Genomic DNA, 19778 nt, shown 5'->3' with positions numbered 1-19778 from the left:
TAGGATAATGCTAGCCTCATACAATGAGTTAAAATAATTTTTCCTCTTCAATTTTTTGAAGTAGTTTGAGGAGAATTCATGTTAGTTCTTTTTTATAAGTTTGATAGAATTCTTCAGTGAATTCATCTCATTCTGGGCTTTTCTTTGTTGGGAGATTTTTTATTGCTAATTTAATCTTGTTACTCATTATTGATTTATTTATGTTTTCTACTTCTTCTGGTTCAATCTTGGTAGGTTGCATATGTCCAGAAATTTATCTATGTCCTGGTTTTACACTTTGTAGAGAATAGTTGTTCATAACAGTCTCTAATGATCATTTGTATTTCTGTGGTATCAATTATAATGTCTTCTTTATCATTTCTGATTACTTTTTTTATCTTCTTTCTTCTTGGTTAGTTTAGCTAGTGGTTTATTGATTTTGTTCATTTTTTTAAAAAACAACTTTTCATTTTATAGATTCTCTGTAATGATTTTTTAGTCTCTGTTTCATTTAGTTCTGCTCTGATCTTTCTTATTTCCTTCTAGTAATTTAGAATTTGGCTTGTTGTTGCTTTTCTAGTTCTCGGGGTATAGCATTAGGTTGTTTATTTTAAATCTTTCTACTTTATTGATATAGGCATTTATTGCTATAAACTTCTCTCCAAGGCTGTTTTTGCTGTATTCTGTAGGTTTTTGTATGCTGTATTTCCATTTTCATTTCTTTAAAAATTTTTTTAAGTTTCTTCTTAATTTTCTTATTAACCCAATAGATGTTCAGAAGCATGTTACTCAATTTCCATGTATTTGTACAGTTTCCAAAGTTCTTCTTGTTATTATTTTCTAGTTCTAATCCATTATAGTCTAAAAAGATATTTGATATGATTTTGATTTTTAAAAATTTGTTAGGACTTGTTTTTTGTCCTAACATATGGTCTATACTGGAGAATGTTCCACGTGCTGATGAGAAGAATGTGTATTCCGCAGCTGTTGGATGAAATGTTATGTAAATGTCTGTTAGGTCTGTAGTGCAGAGTAAGTCTGATGTGTCTTTGTAGATTTCCTGTCTAGATGATCTGTCCACTGCTGAAAGGGGGGTGTTGAAGTCCCCAGCTTTTATTCTATTGGGGTCTGTCTTTCTTTAGCTATAATAATATTTATTAGCATATAGATTTACAATTGTATATCCTCTTGCTGAATTGATCTCTTTGTCATTATATAATGATCATTTTGTCACTTTTTGTTTTTTAACTTAAAGTCTAGTTTGTCTGATATAAATATAGCTACTCCTGCATGCATTTTGTTTGTGTGGTATACTTTTTTCCATTCCTTCACTTTCAGTCTATGTGTATCTTTACAGATGAAGTGAATTTCCTGTAGGCAGCATATAGTTGGTTTAAAAAAAAAAATCAGCCAGTCTGTCTCTTTTAACTAGGAAACTTAAACTGTTTACATTCAAGGTTGCTATGGATAGGTGAGGACTTACTCCTGTCATTTTGTTAATTGTTTTCTGATTGTTTTGTATATCCTCCATTCTCTTCTTCTTATTTTATTGTTTTCCTTTATGATTTGGTAGTTTTTTGTTATGAGAGTATTTGACTCTTTTCTCTTTCTCATTTGTGTATCTGCACTACCAGTGATTTTTATACTTTGGTGTGTTTCTATGATGGTAGATGTCATTCGTTCACCTCCAGATGTAGGACTCCCTTAAGCATTTCTTGTAAGTCTGGTCTAGTGGCAATGAATTCCCTCAGTCTTTGCTTGCCTGGGAAATAATATTTCACCTTAGTTTTGAAAGATGGCTTTGTTGGGAATAGTATTTTTGCTTGACAGTAATTTTTCTTTTAGCACTCTGATTATATTATCTCATTCTCCTCTAGCCTATAAGGCTTCTACTGAGCAATCCACAGTCACTCTGATGCAGATACCCATATCTTTGACTTGATGTTTTTTTATTAATTTTTTAAAGTTCTCTTTTTGTCTTTGACTTTTGACTATTTGACTATAATTTGCCTTGGGGAAGACCTTTTGGGATTTAACCCATTTGGAGATTTTTGAGCTTCCAGTATCTGAATGTCTATATCTCTTGCAAGACTTGGGATGTTTTCAGGAATTGTTTCATCAAATAGATTTTCTATGCCTTTGCCCATCTCTTCTCCTTCTAGAACCACCAAAATTCAAATATTTAAATGCTTTATGGTATGCCAAAAGCTTTCTTCATTCTTTTTCTTTCTTTTCCTTTTTTTTTTTTTCTTTGGCTGACTATGCTATTTCAAAAGACCTGCCTTCAAGTTCAGAAATTTCTTCTGCCTGAGCTAGTCTATTGTTGGAGTTCTCAACTGTATTTTTTATGTTATTCATTGAATTCTTCAGTTTCAGAAATTCTTTTTTATTCTCTTTAATATCTATCTTTTTGTTGAATTTCTCATTCAAATCATGAATTACTTTTCTGATTTTGTTGTGTCGTTTATCTGTGTTTTCTTTTATCTCATTTAATTTCTTTAATATTATGATTTGAATTCTTTTCCAGGTATGTCATAGATTTTCTTTTTGCTGTTATCTGTTACTGGAGAATAATTGTGTTCCTTTGAAGGTGCCATGTTTCCTTGCTTTTTAATGTCTCTTGTGTCTTTACATTAATATCTGCAACTTTGGTATAACAGTCACTTCTTTTGATTTTATGGATTGGCTTTTGTAGGGAATGACTTTTTCCTGTAGATGTATCTACAGTGTTACTTGGGTAGGGTGCTTTGGATTTGATTCTGAATAGATGCAGTAGTGTATTCTCCACATGATTTCTTCAGCTGTAATCAGCATCAGTGTGGTATCTGAGAGTTCCTCAATGGCTTATCCGGTGGTTGTTAGTGGAGGCTGTGGTGAGGCTTTGCTGAGAATGGGGATGTCAGATGGGCTATCCAGACAGGTAGGTCTTCAGCCCCCTGGGTGGCATATGTGGTATCAGTGGTGTCAATAGCAGTGGCAGGCCAACCTTTGGGCCCATGAACTGTGCACATGGGCACCAGCAGTGGTAACAGTGGACTACATGGGCCAATCTCCAGGCCCCCAAGTGGTTTAGGAAGGTAGGTGCTGGCAGCAGCAGTGGCAGGCTGAGTAGCCGAGTCCAGGGATGCTGGGAGACATGTGTGGGCATCAGTGGCAGGTGGTGGTTCTTTCTTATGCCCCTAGATTGTTCATGTCTGTGTTGGTAGCAGTGGGCAGGGCAGGCCTATACCCAGGCCCCTGGACACTGCACATTGGTGCTGGTAAGTGGGGACAGGTTGATCCCCAGGCCTCTCGATAACATGTTTGGACACTGGCAATGGTGGTGGTGGGTGCAGAAGAAATGTCCTTAGGCCCCTGGATGGTGAGTGTGGGCAACAGTGGGAGCAGGCAGTATGGATCAATCCCCAAGCCCCAAGACAATGTGTGCAGGCACTGGAAGTAGTGGCAGCGAGCAGGGCATGCCTGTCATCAGGCCCCCCCTAAAGTTGTGCATGGGTGCTGGCTGCTGTGGCCAGGGTGGATCAATCCCCAGGCCTCCAGACGGAGTGCATGCGTGCCAGTGGTGCAAAGGGTGCATGGGTGCAAGTAGGATAGGTCAGTCCTGAGGCCACTGGACAATGTGTGTGGGCACCATTGGTGGAGGTTACAGGTAAAGCAGGTCTGTCCTCTGGCTCCCAGTGGTGCTTGTGGGTACGGCTGTGGTGGGTTAGGTAAGTCCTGTGTCTGTTACTGTGACACTCATCACTCTGTACTTTATATGTCCATTGAGCAACTGTACACCCAAAAAGCATACAAGTATCAAGAGGCCAGGATCTGGGTTTGATTTCACCAGTGAGTTCTCAGAAGGCATATTTCATAGAAAGTGTTAAATAAGTGTTTTGTGTTAAGTCCCAATTCTATTATGCCATCCCTGACTACTCTGATTTATTCTGTTTTTTTTTCTCCTGAAATTCCCTATCAGTCACTTGGCTTTTAATCATAGGCTTTCTCTTAACTCTTTTATTCTTTGAGATCGAATATTTTTGAAATTTTAAATGCATAATCTTATTTCATAAGCAAGACAATGTATATTTTCTCTAGAAATCTTGCACTTGTCCACAACATCAGACCCTGGACTTCATGACATGCTGTATGTTTATGGAATTAATGGTTGGTGCTGTATTATGAGACCGTGACTCCATCACCTAGAAAGGACATGAAACACTGCTACCATTCTATGTGATTTAAGATAGGGGGCCTACCTTGTTTTTTTTTTTTTAATTTCAGGGGTTAGCAGTGTGGCCCTCTGGCCCCGTCAGTCTGGGCAGTGGAAGTGTTATCATACTAATGATGTTCTTGAGGTGGGAGTGGGCGTTTCTTTTTCATTAGCAGAACTCAAAAGACTTTCAGCTCTAAGTAGAAAAAAGACATTATCGGAAGTTCTGGGTTTTCCTTCATATAGGAAGGTAGAAGACATCTCACTTTTCAGGCTTATCATGACTCCTAGCACTGCCCTGACAGTGCCAGCAACTTTTGGGTATCTGGGAGGCCATTGAAAAGTTAATCAGTCTGATGAGGCAGCTGCATGTCTGTTCCATCCAAGTGCTAGACTATTTATGCATATTAAAAACAGAAACCTATAAACTGACCCCGGCTGTACTACTTTTAATGACTTCAAGCTGGGCTGTCAAGTATTTTGCTATTTTTAAAGTCAGTTGTTTTTCCATGCCTGCATTTTGTTTTGCCATAACACATATGCAACAAGAATTTTTCCATAAGCTTTAAAAATAGAAGAAATATACCTTTAAGCTAGTTCTCTTTAAAAAAAACTGTTGTGACAACTTCAGTCTATAAGATTTTTAGTTAGTCCCTCTCATTACGTCTCAAGTCTTTTTTTTTTCTGCTAATAATGCTGGAGGTAGAGATATGGTCAAGATGTTTAATCAAAGTGAATGGAATTAGGAAGTAAGCCATCCCTATTTTTCCTAGGATTGTATTACTTAGGCTTAGCTTGCTCTGCTTTTAAAGTCACCTTGGTTCTAAAACATACAGGATAACAGAAACTAGAATTTAATATGGAAACAACCATCCTATGATAAAACAAACTAGGTTTGCTATACACCAATCAAGGGCTTAGGGGAGAAATCAGAACTTAGAGTGGGTGGAAGCAATGAATATGGAGTACCATTTCCTAGTCTCCTCATGAAAAATGGGCCACCAGTGTTTGATGCCAAGAAGCTGATTGTTACTTAAACTCTATCTTCCTGGAGAACTTACAAAAGTAGTATGTTTTAATTGCAGACAATTTGGAGGATGCTAACAAGCTTAAAATTTTTTTAAATTAAGGATCACACCCAAATATAACCATCATGTTTATGTTGTCGGCTGGAAGTACCAGTCCCTTTTAAAGGTTTTTCACAGAAAACTGTGCAATACAGATGGAGACTAACTTAGCAGATCTAAGGAGAATGGAGATTGGGCAGGAAGGTTTCAGGGTCCATGAACTGTATGATAGTGACTCTCCTACAATCCATAGACTCTTTAGAGCAGGTCCTGATAGTGACCCAATGGTGGGGCCATCTCACATGCAGACCTGCCTCAATAGCCTTGTGCTCTAATTCCATACCTTGCAAATCTGGGGCCCTGCATTTTGGCATCTTATGGCAGACAAATGATGCTAGTAGGAAATAGTAGAAATCCCAACTCTCCCTTGTCTCTACCTTCTCCAGACCAGGCAATACTTTGGCAGTGAGTCCTACCAAACTCAGTATAAGCTTCTAAGATGCCAAAGAAAAACAGCACTGACTTTCCATTCAGTGGTCATTCACTGTCCATTCAGCCAACAGCTCCAGCCACTGGCCAGACCCAAGGGTCTCCTACAGGCCTGATGCATGTAAAACTGAGACAGAATTTGCAGCAGATAGAAGAAATCATGATTCCAAATGACATATGCTGGAAAGGGCAAATGACGGTGTTACTACATCTGAAGGACAAACTAACACTAAGAGATTTCACCATGATATGGCCCCAACTTCCCTTAGGAGGGAGAAAGGGAGCAGAGCATGTCAGAATCTATACAGTTACACAATGAGACCACTGGAACGCCTCACCGACAATACCTTTACTCTGACAAAGGGTGGCTGAGAAGTTCTTCCGCTAGTTGCTCCAGTAGACGTCTACTCCCAATGACTGAAGCATGGATGGGGAGGAGCGCAAAGTGGCAGAGTTATGTTGTTGGTGTGTTGGTGTTGGTGGTGGGCGGGGGGTGGGGGGGGGGCAGTTCTACATAATAGCAGGGCTTTAGGAGTAGGGTAGGGCAGTGGCTAACACATTCCTTGCCCCTTCTAGGAGGCAAGTAGCTAGAATTGGTAACCTTAGAAACTCAGCCTTAAAAACTCCTGACATTCCCCAGATGTCCCCATTCCCTAGCTCAAGACAAGACTCCTTAGTCACCGGTGGTGCTGAAGACACAAGGAAGTTGCATGAACAAGTAGCCCAGATGTCTATGGCTGCAGCATAGCCTCGTTCCTCTTAACCTGCATCTAAAGCTTCATGAGGATTGTCTGTGGCTAGTTGACCAAAGACGAAAAAAAATTAGAAAATTCGGCATGATTTGCCACCAACACCCAAAAGTAGATGACTGCAGCACTACAGCCCTATCCCAGGGTGGCTCTGAAGGATAGTATTTAAAGAAAATCTTCCTCCCAGTGGGCAGAACTTTGAGCAGTACGTCTGTTTGCCCATTTCATCCAGAAAAAGGGATGGCTAGAGGTCCACATTCATCATGAGCAATAGCTAATGGTTTAGGTGCATAGTCAGGGACTGAAAAGAAACATGATCAGAAAATTTCTGACCAAAGAGGTCTGGGAATCTAGTATGTGACTAAATGGCGTTCACACAGAGTGTGAAGATATTTCTGTCTCATGTCAATGCTCCCTGAAAAGCAAGCTCAGAAAAAGAGTATTGTAATAATCAGGTGGACAAGCTGACCTGTTCTGTGGGTGTCAGTCAGCCTTTTCCAACAGCCATTCTTTGCCTTGCCTAGTGAGTGCTGAACCATGATAGGAATGAAGTTTCTGTATGGGCTCACAATATGGATTTTCTTCTACCAAGGCTGATCCAGCTATAGCTGCTGTTGAATGCTCAATCTCCCAACAGCAAAGTCCAACAGTGAACCCCTGATATGGCACCATTCCCAGGCCAGGTGTGAAGATGGAGAAAACCAGCTAGCCACCTGGTGGCAGATTGATTATGCTGGACCACTTCCATTATAGAAGTGGCAGCTCTTTGTTCCCAGTGGAATAGATACTCACCCTGGATAGGGATTTGCCTTCCCTGCCTACAGTGCTTTTATCAAAACTGCCATCTGTAGACTTACGAAATGCCTTACTCACCTTCATGGTATTCAGCACAGCATTGCTTCTGACCAAGAAATTTGTTTTATAGCACATAACATATGCTAATGTGCTCATGGTCTTGGAATTCATTGGTCTTATCATGTTTCCCATCACCCTGAAGCAAGTGGCCTGAAAGAATGATTGAATGGCCACTGAAGACTCGGTTATGACAATAGCTGCATGGCAGCACCTTGTAGGGCTGGAGGAATATCCTCCAGGATGCAGTATATAGTCTAAGCCAGATTGTGCTATTTCTCCCTTAGCCAGAACTTGGGGAATCAAGGGTTGGAAATAGGAATGGCTCATCTTATCTTTGGTGATTCACTGGCAAAAATTTGCTTCCTGACTTCATAACTTTATACTGTGCTAATCTAGGGTTCTTAATTCCCAAGGGAGGGATGTTTCTACCAAGAACACAGAAAATGTTCCATTAAATTAGAAGTTGCGACTACAGCTTGGTGACTTTGTATTCCTCATGCAAGTTAATCATCAGGCAAAAGAGGGGGTTATTCTACTGACTAGGATGATTGATCCTGTCTATCCAGTGGAATTAGGTCATTCACAACTACAGAATGGAGAGAAGGAAGAGTATGTCAGAAATGCAGATTTCCTGTAGCATATTTTTGTATTCCATATTGTTATGGATTGAACTATTTTTTTCCAAAGAGATATGTTGAAGTCCTAACCCCTGGTACCTGTGAATATAACCTTATATGGAAATAGGGTCTTTGCTGATATAATCAAGATGAGGTCATATGCAATTAGGGTGGGACCTAATCCAATATGACTGATATCTTTATAAGAAGAGAAGAGGCCAGGCGCGGTGGCTCAAGCTTGTAATCCCAGCACATTGGGAGGCTGAGGCAGGTGGATCACTTGAGGCCAGGAGTTTGAGACCAGCCTGGCCAACATGATGAAACCCCATCTATATTATAAATACAAAAATCAGCCAGATATGGTGGCGTACACCTATGGTCCCAGCTACTTGAGAGGCTGAGGCATGAGAATCGCTTGAACTCAGGAGATGGAGGTTGCAGTGAGCTGAGATTGTTCCACTGCACTCCAGCCTGGGTGACAGAGTGAGACTCTGTCTCAAAATAAGAAAATAAGAAAAAAGAAAAGAGGAGACGAAGAGACACAGAAGGAAGATGGAAGATGTCCATGTGACAGCAGAGGCAGAGTGGATTTATGCTACCACAAGCCAAGGAATGCCGAGGATTATCGGCATCCGCTAGACACCAGGAGAGAGGGAGAACAGATTTTTTTTCCCTCTGAGCCCCCAAGAAAGAACCAACCCTATTGACATTTTTATTTCAAACATATATCCTCCTAAACGGTGAGAGAATAAGTTTCTGTTGTGTTAAGCCACCCAGTTTGTGGTAATTTGTATAGCACCGCAAGGAAAGTAATAGATATATCCTGAGATTAATATTCATAGGAAATTCCAAAACCCAATTTAGGTAGGGCAGCAAGTGGCTCAGATCCTTCAGGAATGTGAAGGGATTGGGTCACCCCAATAAGCAAAGATCTAGGACAAGATTAAACATTGTCGAGGGAAAAGAGAATATAAAATAGATATAGTCAAAAAACCAAACCACATAATGGCTGCAGAAACAAGGACAATAATAGTTATGAGTATTTTTCTACCTAATTTTGGTATGAGTGTATCTATATATGTAGTAAATGTTTCTTCCCTTCTCCCATTCCCCTACTTCTGATATAATAGTCATTACTTTTATATCTCAGTATAAGTTACAGGATATCAATGGGGAGTACGACTCAGCTAAAAGAAGAATGAACAAATTTGCTGTCCTAGAAAAATGTTTTCCAGAATTCCCATATCTTTATGCTTCTGAGTTAGCAGTGACCATAGGAGAAATATGTAGAAGGTTTATAAATTAGAAGGGGGGTTGCAGCCCTATTGTTTTATACTGTGAAAGTCAATGTAGGAGGCCAGACGCGGTGGCTCATGCCTGTAATCCAGCACTTTGGGAGGCCGAGGTGAGTGGATCATCCGAGGTCAGGTGTTCCAGACCAGCCTGGCCAACATGGTGAAACCCCATCTCTACAAAAATACAAAAATTAGCCGGGCATGATGGCGGGTGCCTGTAATCCCATTTACTCGGGAGGCTGAGGCAGGAGAATCGCTTGAACCCGGGAGGTGGAGGTTGCAGTGAGCCAAGATTGTGCCATTGCACTCCAGCCTGGGCAACAGAGTGAGACTCTGTCTCAAAAAAGAAAAAGAAAAAGAAAGTCAATGTAGGATGCCAGGCATCCTGTACACACTGTGGTGACAAGCTGCTCACGTTGTCTACATAAGGCAGCACTTGGGCCCACACTTCTGGTACCAGAATTCCTTCAGCTTCACCTAATCCTAGGCCAAAAGCATGGGCTATTCTATGGCAAAAGGTGCCAACTTCTTCTGCAAGTGACCTGCAGCATCAAAGGTAGAGACAGTCTGAGACTGATGTGGATTCCAGTTCATCCTCACAGTTCCAGCTCATTCTCAGGAGTTTTAAGTTCATCTTTACTTTTCTTCCCACTTGGTCTGGCTGACTTAGAACAACTTCTGGCTCAACACCTAATGCAGAGACAGCAGCCTTGCATAGTCCCTTCCATTGGTAAAACTGTGTAAGGTCTTAGCCCTATAATAAATCCCTTTTTCTATATAGTTGTAACAGTGTTTAGCCTGTTTAGGAATGTTTGATACGCTTATTCAAGTCTATAATTTGCAAATTCTTAAAATAAAAATGAATTTGACTTATAGCTTCCCTTCAAAAACTAAGTTGTTTTATGATGTCTCATACCATTTAAAAATATTCCTTCTTAATAAAAGTTTCAGGCATAAAGTTACATACCTAAACCCTTAGGAAAAAAAATGTACCCATGTAAAATAAAGCTCCATGATGTTATATGTTCATGTGGGACATCTGATTATACCAGCTTGCCTTCATCACTGTACACTCCTCAAAGAATGGGTTTTGGTAGGAAAGAGAAGACCATTAGCTGGGGTTTTGGAAGAGAATTTAATAAAGGGACTATTTACATTGGTGTGAACAGGGGTCTGGGAATCAACAAGGGATGGTGAAGCACCAAGAACTAGCCCCAGAGGGAGCCCTTATCACCTCCATGCATGAAGACACGAAGGACAGAACCAATGTTACCACAGTCTACTGAGAGCTAGAGCCATGAAAGGGGCCGCCAGCAAGGGCTGTGGATGTAGAGGGATGCGGCTATTGCCACACTATGCCATAGCAGGACAGGTGTGCCAGGCGTGAATACTCCAGCCCCTCTTCAACTCCCACCTTCTCGTCTCCAGCTGATGTTTCCCATTGGCAAGGGAGCCTGGGGAATGCGGTTAGTAGGGTGGGTCAGAGAATGGAGAAACGGAGTGTGGAAGAGAACAAACTGAGAATGTCAGCAACATGTGGGACAAAAGGCATTTAGGGCTCATCAGGAACAAGGGACCTAGAGCAATTCCTACTGTGCCATGGGAATCAGAGGGAGAACATAGGAGAGTAAATCATTTTTTTAGCCTGTACCTAGCTGGAGCAGTTCATTTGCAGGACCAATAACAAGTATCCCTTCAGAGGCTCCCCTCAGCCAAGGAAGACAAGGTGCTGAAAATCCCACATTGGTAAAACATCCAACTCTCACTTCTTTAAATAAATTGGAACCTAGAACAGTTAAGCAGGTTAGTGGGAAGAGAATTTAGGTTGCTTAGTTCGGGCTTTTCCTAATCTATGAGGATCTTTCCAGTATTGAGGAGAATAGGCAGTACTTCTAAATACTTCAAAGTACTTGAACATTGAATTACTGCTTGTGAAATATTATATAACATGATACTCAATCCAATCATTAAGGTAAAATAGGCAACAAAATCCACACTAATGAAAGAGCTGTTAAACGACTTCAACGTTTTATATTCTGACCCCAGAAGGCTTATTTGCAGCTCTTGTTCTGCTTTAGTGTCAGTCCTTTTGAGCTGTTAATCCTTCAGGTGGTTCTAATCACAAACAGCTGTACTAGGTGGAGCTCTGCTACCCAGGAAATGCCCTTGTAATACTCAGGAGTCTTGACCCCTTCTTTCTCACTCTCGCTTTCACAAATGATGGTTTGGAAACCTTCAAATACAAAGGGTGAGGCCAGCTCCTAAAGTCCCTTCATTTTCTACTGTCTAACAACTACTGCCTTATCTCATTTAAGTAAAATGTTAGCCAGTAGAGGCAACCTCAAGATCCTAGAGACATCTTTGCCTCCTCTCTCTTTTGATCCCCGTATCTAATTATTTCAAGGCTTCCTATTTTTTCTTTGGCAGTTGCTTTCCTCCTCCAGTCATGCTTATCACCCTGGTCCAGAACCTCACCCTGTGCATTCTTAGATAAGCCTCAATGCCTTTTAACTGAAATATCTGCTTCTAGGCTCTTCCCCTACATTCTATCTTGTTTTCTAGGAATTAGTACTATTTTTAGAACATTACCTGGAGAGACTATAGTGGCTTCCTGTCAGAGCCTGATCTCCTCAACCATAACATTCAAGCCCTCCATCAACCGGACACATCTCACAACCTGATTTTGCCACTCCAGTCAGGCTGTTTAATAAAAGATCATGCTTAATTCTGCCTTTTTCAGTCCCTTAGAATTTACCATCCCCTCCCCTAAATAAACCACGTTCTTTATCTCATGTCCTTCTATGTCCTACCTCTTTTCCAGGGTTTGAATTATAGGCCCCAGTAGTACTTTTCTTGCACAATCTAGCCCTTAATTTCCCTTCTGCTAGGATCCAGGTAATCCTTGACAATCATGGGTAAGAAAAAAAATATTTTGAGGGCTTACTATATGCCAGGTGCCATTCTAAGTGGTTTATAGCTTTGCATGTATTAAATAGTTTAATCCAAACAATTTGTGTGGAGTTGGTTTCTATTATCAGCACTTTCCAGGTAAGGAAATTCAGGCATCGAAAATTTAAATAACTTTCCCAAATAAAAGGTGGGATGTGAGTTGGAACTTGCGTGGAATTCATCTCCAGAATTCACATTGTTAATTGCCATGTAATCCTGCATCCCACTAGGAACGGGGGCAGGATTTTTGTGAGCCTATTGCATTGCAGAGCACCTATTACACAGGACAGCTTCACAGTTAACTGCCATTTTCTCCCAGTTAGTTGATGCTATGATTCTGATGCAAATTTATGCGTCAAGTGTTAAACTACCCTATTTGATGAGGCATTTGATTGAAAACTGTTACAAACGCATATTAACTTCACACCTGTGGTTCTTTCAATAGAAGTCTTTTCTGAGCAAAGTCTATTCAGGTAGCATAAGCAGTTCGCCCACTGAAGGGACTACCCCAGCTTTCAGTCATTTGATGGGTTGCCTACACAGCCTTTTTTTCTTTGGAGCTGATTTAACTCGCTTAATTTTGTACTTGTCAAGCACAGTGAACATGATGAATCCCTCCTAGGTACCAATTTATTAAAAACATCTATTAATTTAAAAAATGTGCCACAGCTTGAATTTTCTCTTACAAAAGCAGGAATTTGTTCATTTGTAAACAAGCTTCCTGTTCCTTTCTCAAGGTTTACATCCATGATGTTGTAAAGGCTGGGACATCGCTCCTTATCAACTTGCAGGTTTTAAACAAGTCATTCTTGCCCTTCTTTCTGTTCTCAATAAGAGGGATATTTTAGTCCTTCGGAAAATGTAGCTTATCATTTTTGATATGGTACAAAACAGCATTTCCTCCCTTTCTGTTGCATGACCCTGCAGTGACAATCTCTGTTTTACAACTTTGGACAATGATACAAAGTTGTGTTTATGGTCAACCTATGCTGCATTCTACATAAAACTGGAAATTTTAGTAACTCATATGGGACCACTGAAGGAAACATAAGACTTGAGGAGACCCAGACATGCTAATTTGGTCTACTATTTAACCATTACTGCAATCCTGCAAAACATAAATAAGCATACCTGAAGGTGACCAACTATATCACCATGTACTCAAAATAGGGCATTTGTCTTTCATAAGATTCATAATCCTCAGTGGAGGCTTTCCTGTGTGAAAACAGTTTTCACATTTGTTTCTGGGTTCACATAATTCTTAAAACATTTTGAGAGTAGTTTGTCAAGTTTTAGGATTGTGGTATGTCAAATCATTTTCACAAAATAACCTTTGATATCCTAAGAACTAAGTATTTTATTATTGCTTTGTCTTGTGAAATGCCCTATGAACAATACCACTCATAACTGTGATATTCCTGTATCCACACAGTAATTGTAGCCTTTTCCTGAGAGGTTTGAGCAAATAGAGCCCCACTGCTTCCCTAACCAGGCATAATAACCACACCTCTAACGACTGTTAATTACTTCTCATAAGAATGTTGAGGCTGAGATAAACAATGCAATAGTGAGTTTCTTAATTTTGAATAGGAGCTGCACATGGTCTTAATATTGCTATAATTTCCTTTTCTTACCATAAATAACTCATTGAAGTGTCCCTTTGTGGTAAAAACTGATTGTTTATTCTCTGACAAAACAAAATTGTTAATCTTGCTATGACATGGCTGAGTTATCTGAGCTTCCGGCCTTCTTACTGAAGAGTTTGGCATCTGAGATATAATACTTTTTAAAGGGTGTAAACTGAATTCCCACTTAATATTAGTAAATAACATTCTGTACTAGTATGGACCAGGCAACATTTTTTATTTTTATTTTTCTCCTTCTAAATATATCCTAAAAGTTGAGGACCAGTGAGGATTACTGGCATAAGACAAAAGCTGATATTTTTCCTTGGTAATTCAGTCAAAGCATCACTTTCATCTGGATACTTTGTACTTTGTATGTGGTCTGGAACTTTTAGTTTAGTAGTCTAGACATTATCAAAGTAATATGTTGAATGGAGAACATTTATGAATATAAGTGATTAGGAGTTTGAGATTCAAAGTATTTCTTCCAACACAGCTATTTTATATAATAATTTATCTGTTATTTTACTTATAGGAACTGAGAGCTCTACCTAGTTGTACGATCTCTATAGATATTTCTGCTACCAAAGAGAAGTGCAGAGATTCTCCATTTATGTGCACTGCCATCTGTCACATGGAGACATAGTGTTGTGTCCACTACGTAACATACAACTAAAGCTTGTACATTACAATGCTACCATACAACCATCCTGGAGGGCAGGCATGGTTTATATCAATGGAAGTGGGCAAATGAACCAAGCAGCCTGTTGAAACGTTTGAGAAATTTAATGATTGATCACTCACTTTAGTTGCAGCAGAGGGTCTCCTACGGATGCATCTTATGGCTTCCATATAGGTAATACAAAATATAGAGCTTAGTGGCACACAAAGCCAGCTTACTATTCCTGGATTGCCCATCTTACCATTTCTTCTGATTCTGAGTTATGCTGCAGAGAAGAATCAACAAAGCCATCATCTCTCTGCTGCCCTTTAATTTTCCCTTTTGCTTACTTTGCTTTATTTCATCAACATTTTAAAGATGATACTGTAACTCCAAAGTGGAATAATTTTCCTGAGATCCTTAAAAGTCAATGGTGGAAGCAGGATTCTTCTACTTCTCCAGACTAAGTCAAAGGCACTGTCTATAAAAACACAATTCCTCCAACAAGGCTTTCAGTACATAGGATAGCCAGCACTTCAGTGTTCAGTATATTTGTTTTTGTTTTATTATTTTTTAAAAAGTATTTTATTTATTTATTTTTTTTAAGATGGAGTCTCGCTCTGTCACCCAGGCTGGAGTGCAGTGGTGCAATCTTGGTTCACTGCAACCTCTGCCTCCCAGGTTCAAGCGATTCTCCTGCCTCAGCTTTCCAAGTAACTGGGATTACAAGTGAGCCACCATGCCCAGCTAATTTTGCATTTTTAGTACAGATGGAGTTTCACCATGTTGGCCAGGCTGGTCTTGAACTCCTGACCTCAAGTGATCCACCCACCTCGGCCTCCCAGAGTGTTGGGATTACAGGCATGAGCCACCTCACCAGGCCATATTTGTTTTTAATCCTTACAACAACCTTGAAGAAATTACCTATATTGTTTTTAATTTCCATTTTAAAGATGAGATAACTGAGTTTCAGAGGTTAAGTATCCTTCTTAAGGTCACACAGCTAATAAAGCACCTGGGATTGAAATTTAGCTCTGTCTTCTGACAAAGCTTGATCTTAACCCTTGAGCTAACTGGATCAGAATTATATGAAATAGCTGTGCCACCGCATGTGATTATGGTGTGGTAAGTTAGCCATTACTCTTTAGACCATTTGAAATCTCATGAAGTCACATGCCTTGGTCCATTGCTTCTTTCATTTCCTATTAAGAAAACTAGCCAAACCTCTTAGTCTGTAACATTATGATGCCCTTTGTAATGCCAAAATGATTTCTACCAATTCCAAATTGCTTCTGTTCTCTGAACTATTACCTTGGAGGCAGCCTGAGAAGTAGGAAGATATGGTATAATATCTAGCATGCTGTTCTTCCTTGATGTCTTCCAGCAGGTCTAATAGTACCACAGGCACACCATCAGTCAGCCATAACGTGTACCAGAACATACACACACACAAAGGGAATAAAGAGAGGCCTTGGTGGAATAAGCACGTCCAGAACACGTCCATTCACTGATGTACTTTGGCAGCAAGCATACAGTACTGTCTTCTCTAGCTCTCATTTGCCCAGAGAATTCAACACTACTCAGGTACATAAAAAACCACAATTATGTTAGAGATTCCTATTTGAAGAAAAGCTTCTCAAGGACAAAGCATTACAATGAATCAGTCTACATGGCATGGCATTAAACACAAGATGCAGGCAAAGACTTCAAGGTCATGGCAAGGAGACAGGGAAAGCATTGGAAAAGCTTGGCTCTCATGAATGTGTTAGTGTCTTTCATGAACCCATTAGTTAATTAATTATTAAGATAATAGTTAATTCTTATGCAATTTTTTTTTTCTTAAATGCCCTCTTTTCTTTCTAAGAAGAGTAACGTCAGGTTTAAGCAATTGATTTAAAAGTAAACTGTCTCTGGGCCAGGCACGGTGGCTCATGCCTATAATCCCAGCACTTTGGGAAGCAGAGGCAGGAAGATCGCTTGAGGCCAGGAGTTTGAGACTAGCCTAGGCAACATAGTGAGATCCTGTATTAACAAAAAATTTAAACATTATGTGGTCCCAGCTACTTACAAGGCTGATGTGGGAGGCCCAGGAGATCGAGACTATAGTGAGCTGTGATCACACCACTGCATTCCAGCCTGGGTGAAGTGAGACCCTGTGTCAAAAAATAAAAAAATGAAATTAATTAATTAATTAATTAAACTGCTTCTGGAGTATTAAACTTTAAAATAATTTATTTTGAAAGCAAAATTAAATCACAAGGATTTCCTCCTTTGTTTCATTATAGGCTTTGCAGACTAGTACTGAATGGAAAGGCACATTTGAAGGAATGAGCAGAAAAGGAGAACAGTAGTATGCCACGATTAATGCATTCAGGAAGGAACACAGTTACTGGTGTGGGTGCGCACAGACTCCTCCAGTCTCCTGCCAAAGAGAACCCTGAACTTAGAAACTCAATGCTTTGCCTTTTGCTTCCAAAAATTATTTCTTGCAGTATTGACAATGAAGCCAATATACATAAAAGGAATTGTGGTCAGGTTAGAGAGAAAAGAAAAAAACAGACTGATGTGTTCCGTATTGTCACAGAATAAACAGATCAATAAAACAGAGGAGAGCTCAGAGGCAGAGTCATGTATAGAAGGCATTTTATGTAGGTTAAGGGTTGGCTCCACCTCACTGGAGAAAAGAATGAATTGTTTAGCAGATGTTTTTGGAAACCTGGTTAAACAGATGGACATAATCTCAATTTAACCCCACATACAAAAGATAGACTAACAATGGGTAAAAGACCCAAACATGAAAGGGAATGCTATAAAGTTTACTGAAGCTGTGGCTTCTTGATTTTGTGGTAGGAAAGGACTTTTTTAACTTCAGCAGCACCAGCCCTTAGGTTTAAAGTTGGTGGAAGAGATTACATCAAATCCAAGGATTTTTGTTCAACCAGGGACATCATGGACAACGTTGACAGGTAGCAAAGTAGGAAAAGCACATCAGGCATATTGGGATGATTTCCTGTTAGAGGAAGGAACAGGAATTAGTTAAGAGGGATTAAAAGAAATAATTAAATAGAGAGAGGAACGCTGTTGTGGACCAATGATGATAATACAGGGTACCGTGAACTGAGGAATCAGGTCCATTCAACCCTTGTACCTTGAGTACCATGATAATAAGTTGGGAGAATCTCAGGCATTTGGTGAAAAAAGGCTTCTAAACAGCGAAGAAGTGAAGGATAAATAATTATATGGGTACTTTTACAAGTGTTATGGATCATGCTTTGGACATTTAGTATTCAAAATAAGTAGAAAATGGACTCCCTTTTCAAATACTTTATGCCACTGAATCAGGCTTCTTTAAATATGACACTTCAGGACAGTGGCTCATCCCCAGCCCCCACTGACAATGTATTTTGTGTTATTTAACAGACACTGAAGTAGGCTCCAAAGGTGCACAATCCAATGAGACAGTTTCCTTCCTTCAAGGAACTCCGACTAGTGGGAGAGAGAATGAAAACAGCAGCAGCAGCAGCAGCCAACACTTACATAATGCTTACTATGTGCCCAGCACTGTTCTAATGTACGACATTAACTATTAATCTCAATAATCCAGAAGGTTGATGATGTAGCTATTTGTTTCCTACCTATAAAATGGGGTAAATAAGTTACTGAGATGTTAAGTAGCATGCCTAAGGTCACAGAACTAGAAAGAGGGAAAGCCAAGATTCAAGCCCAGGCAGACTGGCATCTGTGCTCTTAACCACTATACACAAAACAGTATGGTAAATGCCAACAGAAATATGCAGAAGACTGGCACTTCACTCACAAAAAGGAGGGCACTCCCCTCAAATTAAGAACAGTTAAGAAATGTTTCTATACAGTGTGCTCTGTGATTTCAAACGTTATTGTTTGTTTTAAATCTATAAGTTAAGTTGGGGAGAATTCACATCTCTACAGTCTTTCCATCCATGAACATCATATCTCTGTATTTTTCTAGGTTTTTAACTTCTCTCAAAATCTTAAAGTTATAACAATTATTCTTAGGTGCTTTTAAAGTTTCTACTTTAAAGGTCATTTAAAAAAACATATTCAAAAACACATTTCCTAACTTTGTTGCTAAGTAACTAGAAATACAATTCATTTTATATTGATTTTTAAGGAGTAACAGATTTAATTTTAACTTTAATAATTGATAGGCAGATTTGTGTTTTACATACACAACCACAATCTGCCGATGAATTGTTTCTTTCTCTCCATTCTTTATATTTTTTCTCTGGTTATGCTGTCCGGGTTCTCTAGTATAATGTAGAATAGAAGCTGTGATAGGTGACACCGTTGTCTTGTTTCTGACCTTAAAGCACACTTAAAGTTTCACAAATGAATATGTTTGCTTTAAGTTTTTTGTAGATACCCTTCATCAATCGGAATAAATTCCCTTTTACTCTTAGATTGCCAACCATGAATGGTGTTATGGACTGAATAATGTCTCCCCCAAATTTATATGTTGAAGCCTTAACATCCAGTACCTTAGAATGTGACCAAATTTGGAGACAGATCCTTTAAAGAGGTAGTTAAAATGAGGCTGTTAGAGTAGGCCCTAATCCAATAATCCTAGGGTCCTAAGAAGAGGCAATTTGGACATACAGAGAGACACCAGGGGTACACAACTACAGAGAAAAGACAGAGCGAGGAGGCGCCCATCTGCAAGCCAAGGAGAGAGGCTTCAGGAGAAACCAAACCTGATGAAACCTTGATCTCGGACTTCTAGCCTCCAGAACTGTGAGAAAATAAATTTCTGTTGTTTAAACCACCCAGTGGATGGTATTTTGTTACGGCAGCTCTAAAAAACAAATACCAATAGATATTTAATTTCTAATGGTTTCTTTTTTGTATATGTTGAGGTGATCCTGATTTTTCTTCCTTAATCTGATAATGTGGAGAGTTAACTGATTTTCCAATGTTAAGAACATCTGGCATTCCTAGGATAAGCCTGGCTTAGTCACAATGTGGTTTTTTTTTTTTTTCTACTTTTCTTGGATGTTTTGCAATATTTTTCCATCTGTGTTTGTGAGTGAGACTGATATATAATTATTGATGTCCTTGATCAGGTATCAAGATTATTATAGTTGTTTGAGATGACCTGGCAAGCACTCCCTCCTTCTCTACCCTGGAATAGTTTCAAGTTGGGACATTTTGTTTAGGGAATGTTTGGTAGAACTTGGTAAACTTGTCTGGCACGGTGCTTCCACATGATGGCTTTTAAATAGCTGTTTATTTAATTTCCCACCTCAGAGAACCAGGTGGTG

General features: G+C 39.6%; 1 long non-coding RNA gene across 1 annotated transcript in view, besides 2 other annotated features; it reads right to left on the bottom strand.

Annotated features, from left to right (window-relative positions):
* Positions 1-16604, bottom strand: part of LINC01033 (long intergenic non-protein coding RNA 1033) — a 94182-nt gene extending 77578 nt beyond the window's left edge. The window contains exon 1 of the long non-coding RNA NR_126379.1: positions 16550-16604. This is a non-coding gene — a long non-coding RNA (long intergenic non-protein coding RNA 1033). The remainder of the gene's footprint in view (positions 1-16549) is intronic.
* Positions 11633-11777: an enhancer, noted in NCBI's record as "145 bp enhancer 36 fragment used in the MPRA reporter construct; PK_construct_4477". NCBI's record gives its function as "activates an SV40 promoter by MPRA in K562 cells {active_cell/tissue: K562}" and the evidence as "EXISTENCE:reporter gene assay evidence [ECO:0000049][PMID:23512712]".
* Positions 11696-11713: a transcriptional cis regulatory region, noted in NCBI's record as "GATA motif; enhancer activity is reduced when this motif is scrambled". NCBI's record gives its function as "necessary for full MPRA enhancer 36 activity {active_cell/tissue: K562}" and the evidence as "EXISTENCE:site-directed mutagenesis evidence [ECO:0005528][PMID:23512712]".
* Positions 16605-19778: the final 3174 nt, after the last annotated feature.

This window comes from Homo sapiens, chromosome 5 (genome assembly GCF_000001405.40).
Source record: "Homo sapiens chromosome 5, GRCh38.p14 Primary Assembly".
In the NCBI taxonomy this organism is placed as follows: domain Eukaryota; kingdom Metazoa; phylum Chordata; class Mammalia; order Primates; family Hominidae; genus Homo; species Homo sapiens.
This window is presented reverse-complemented; position numbering and strand designations above follow the sequence as displayed.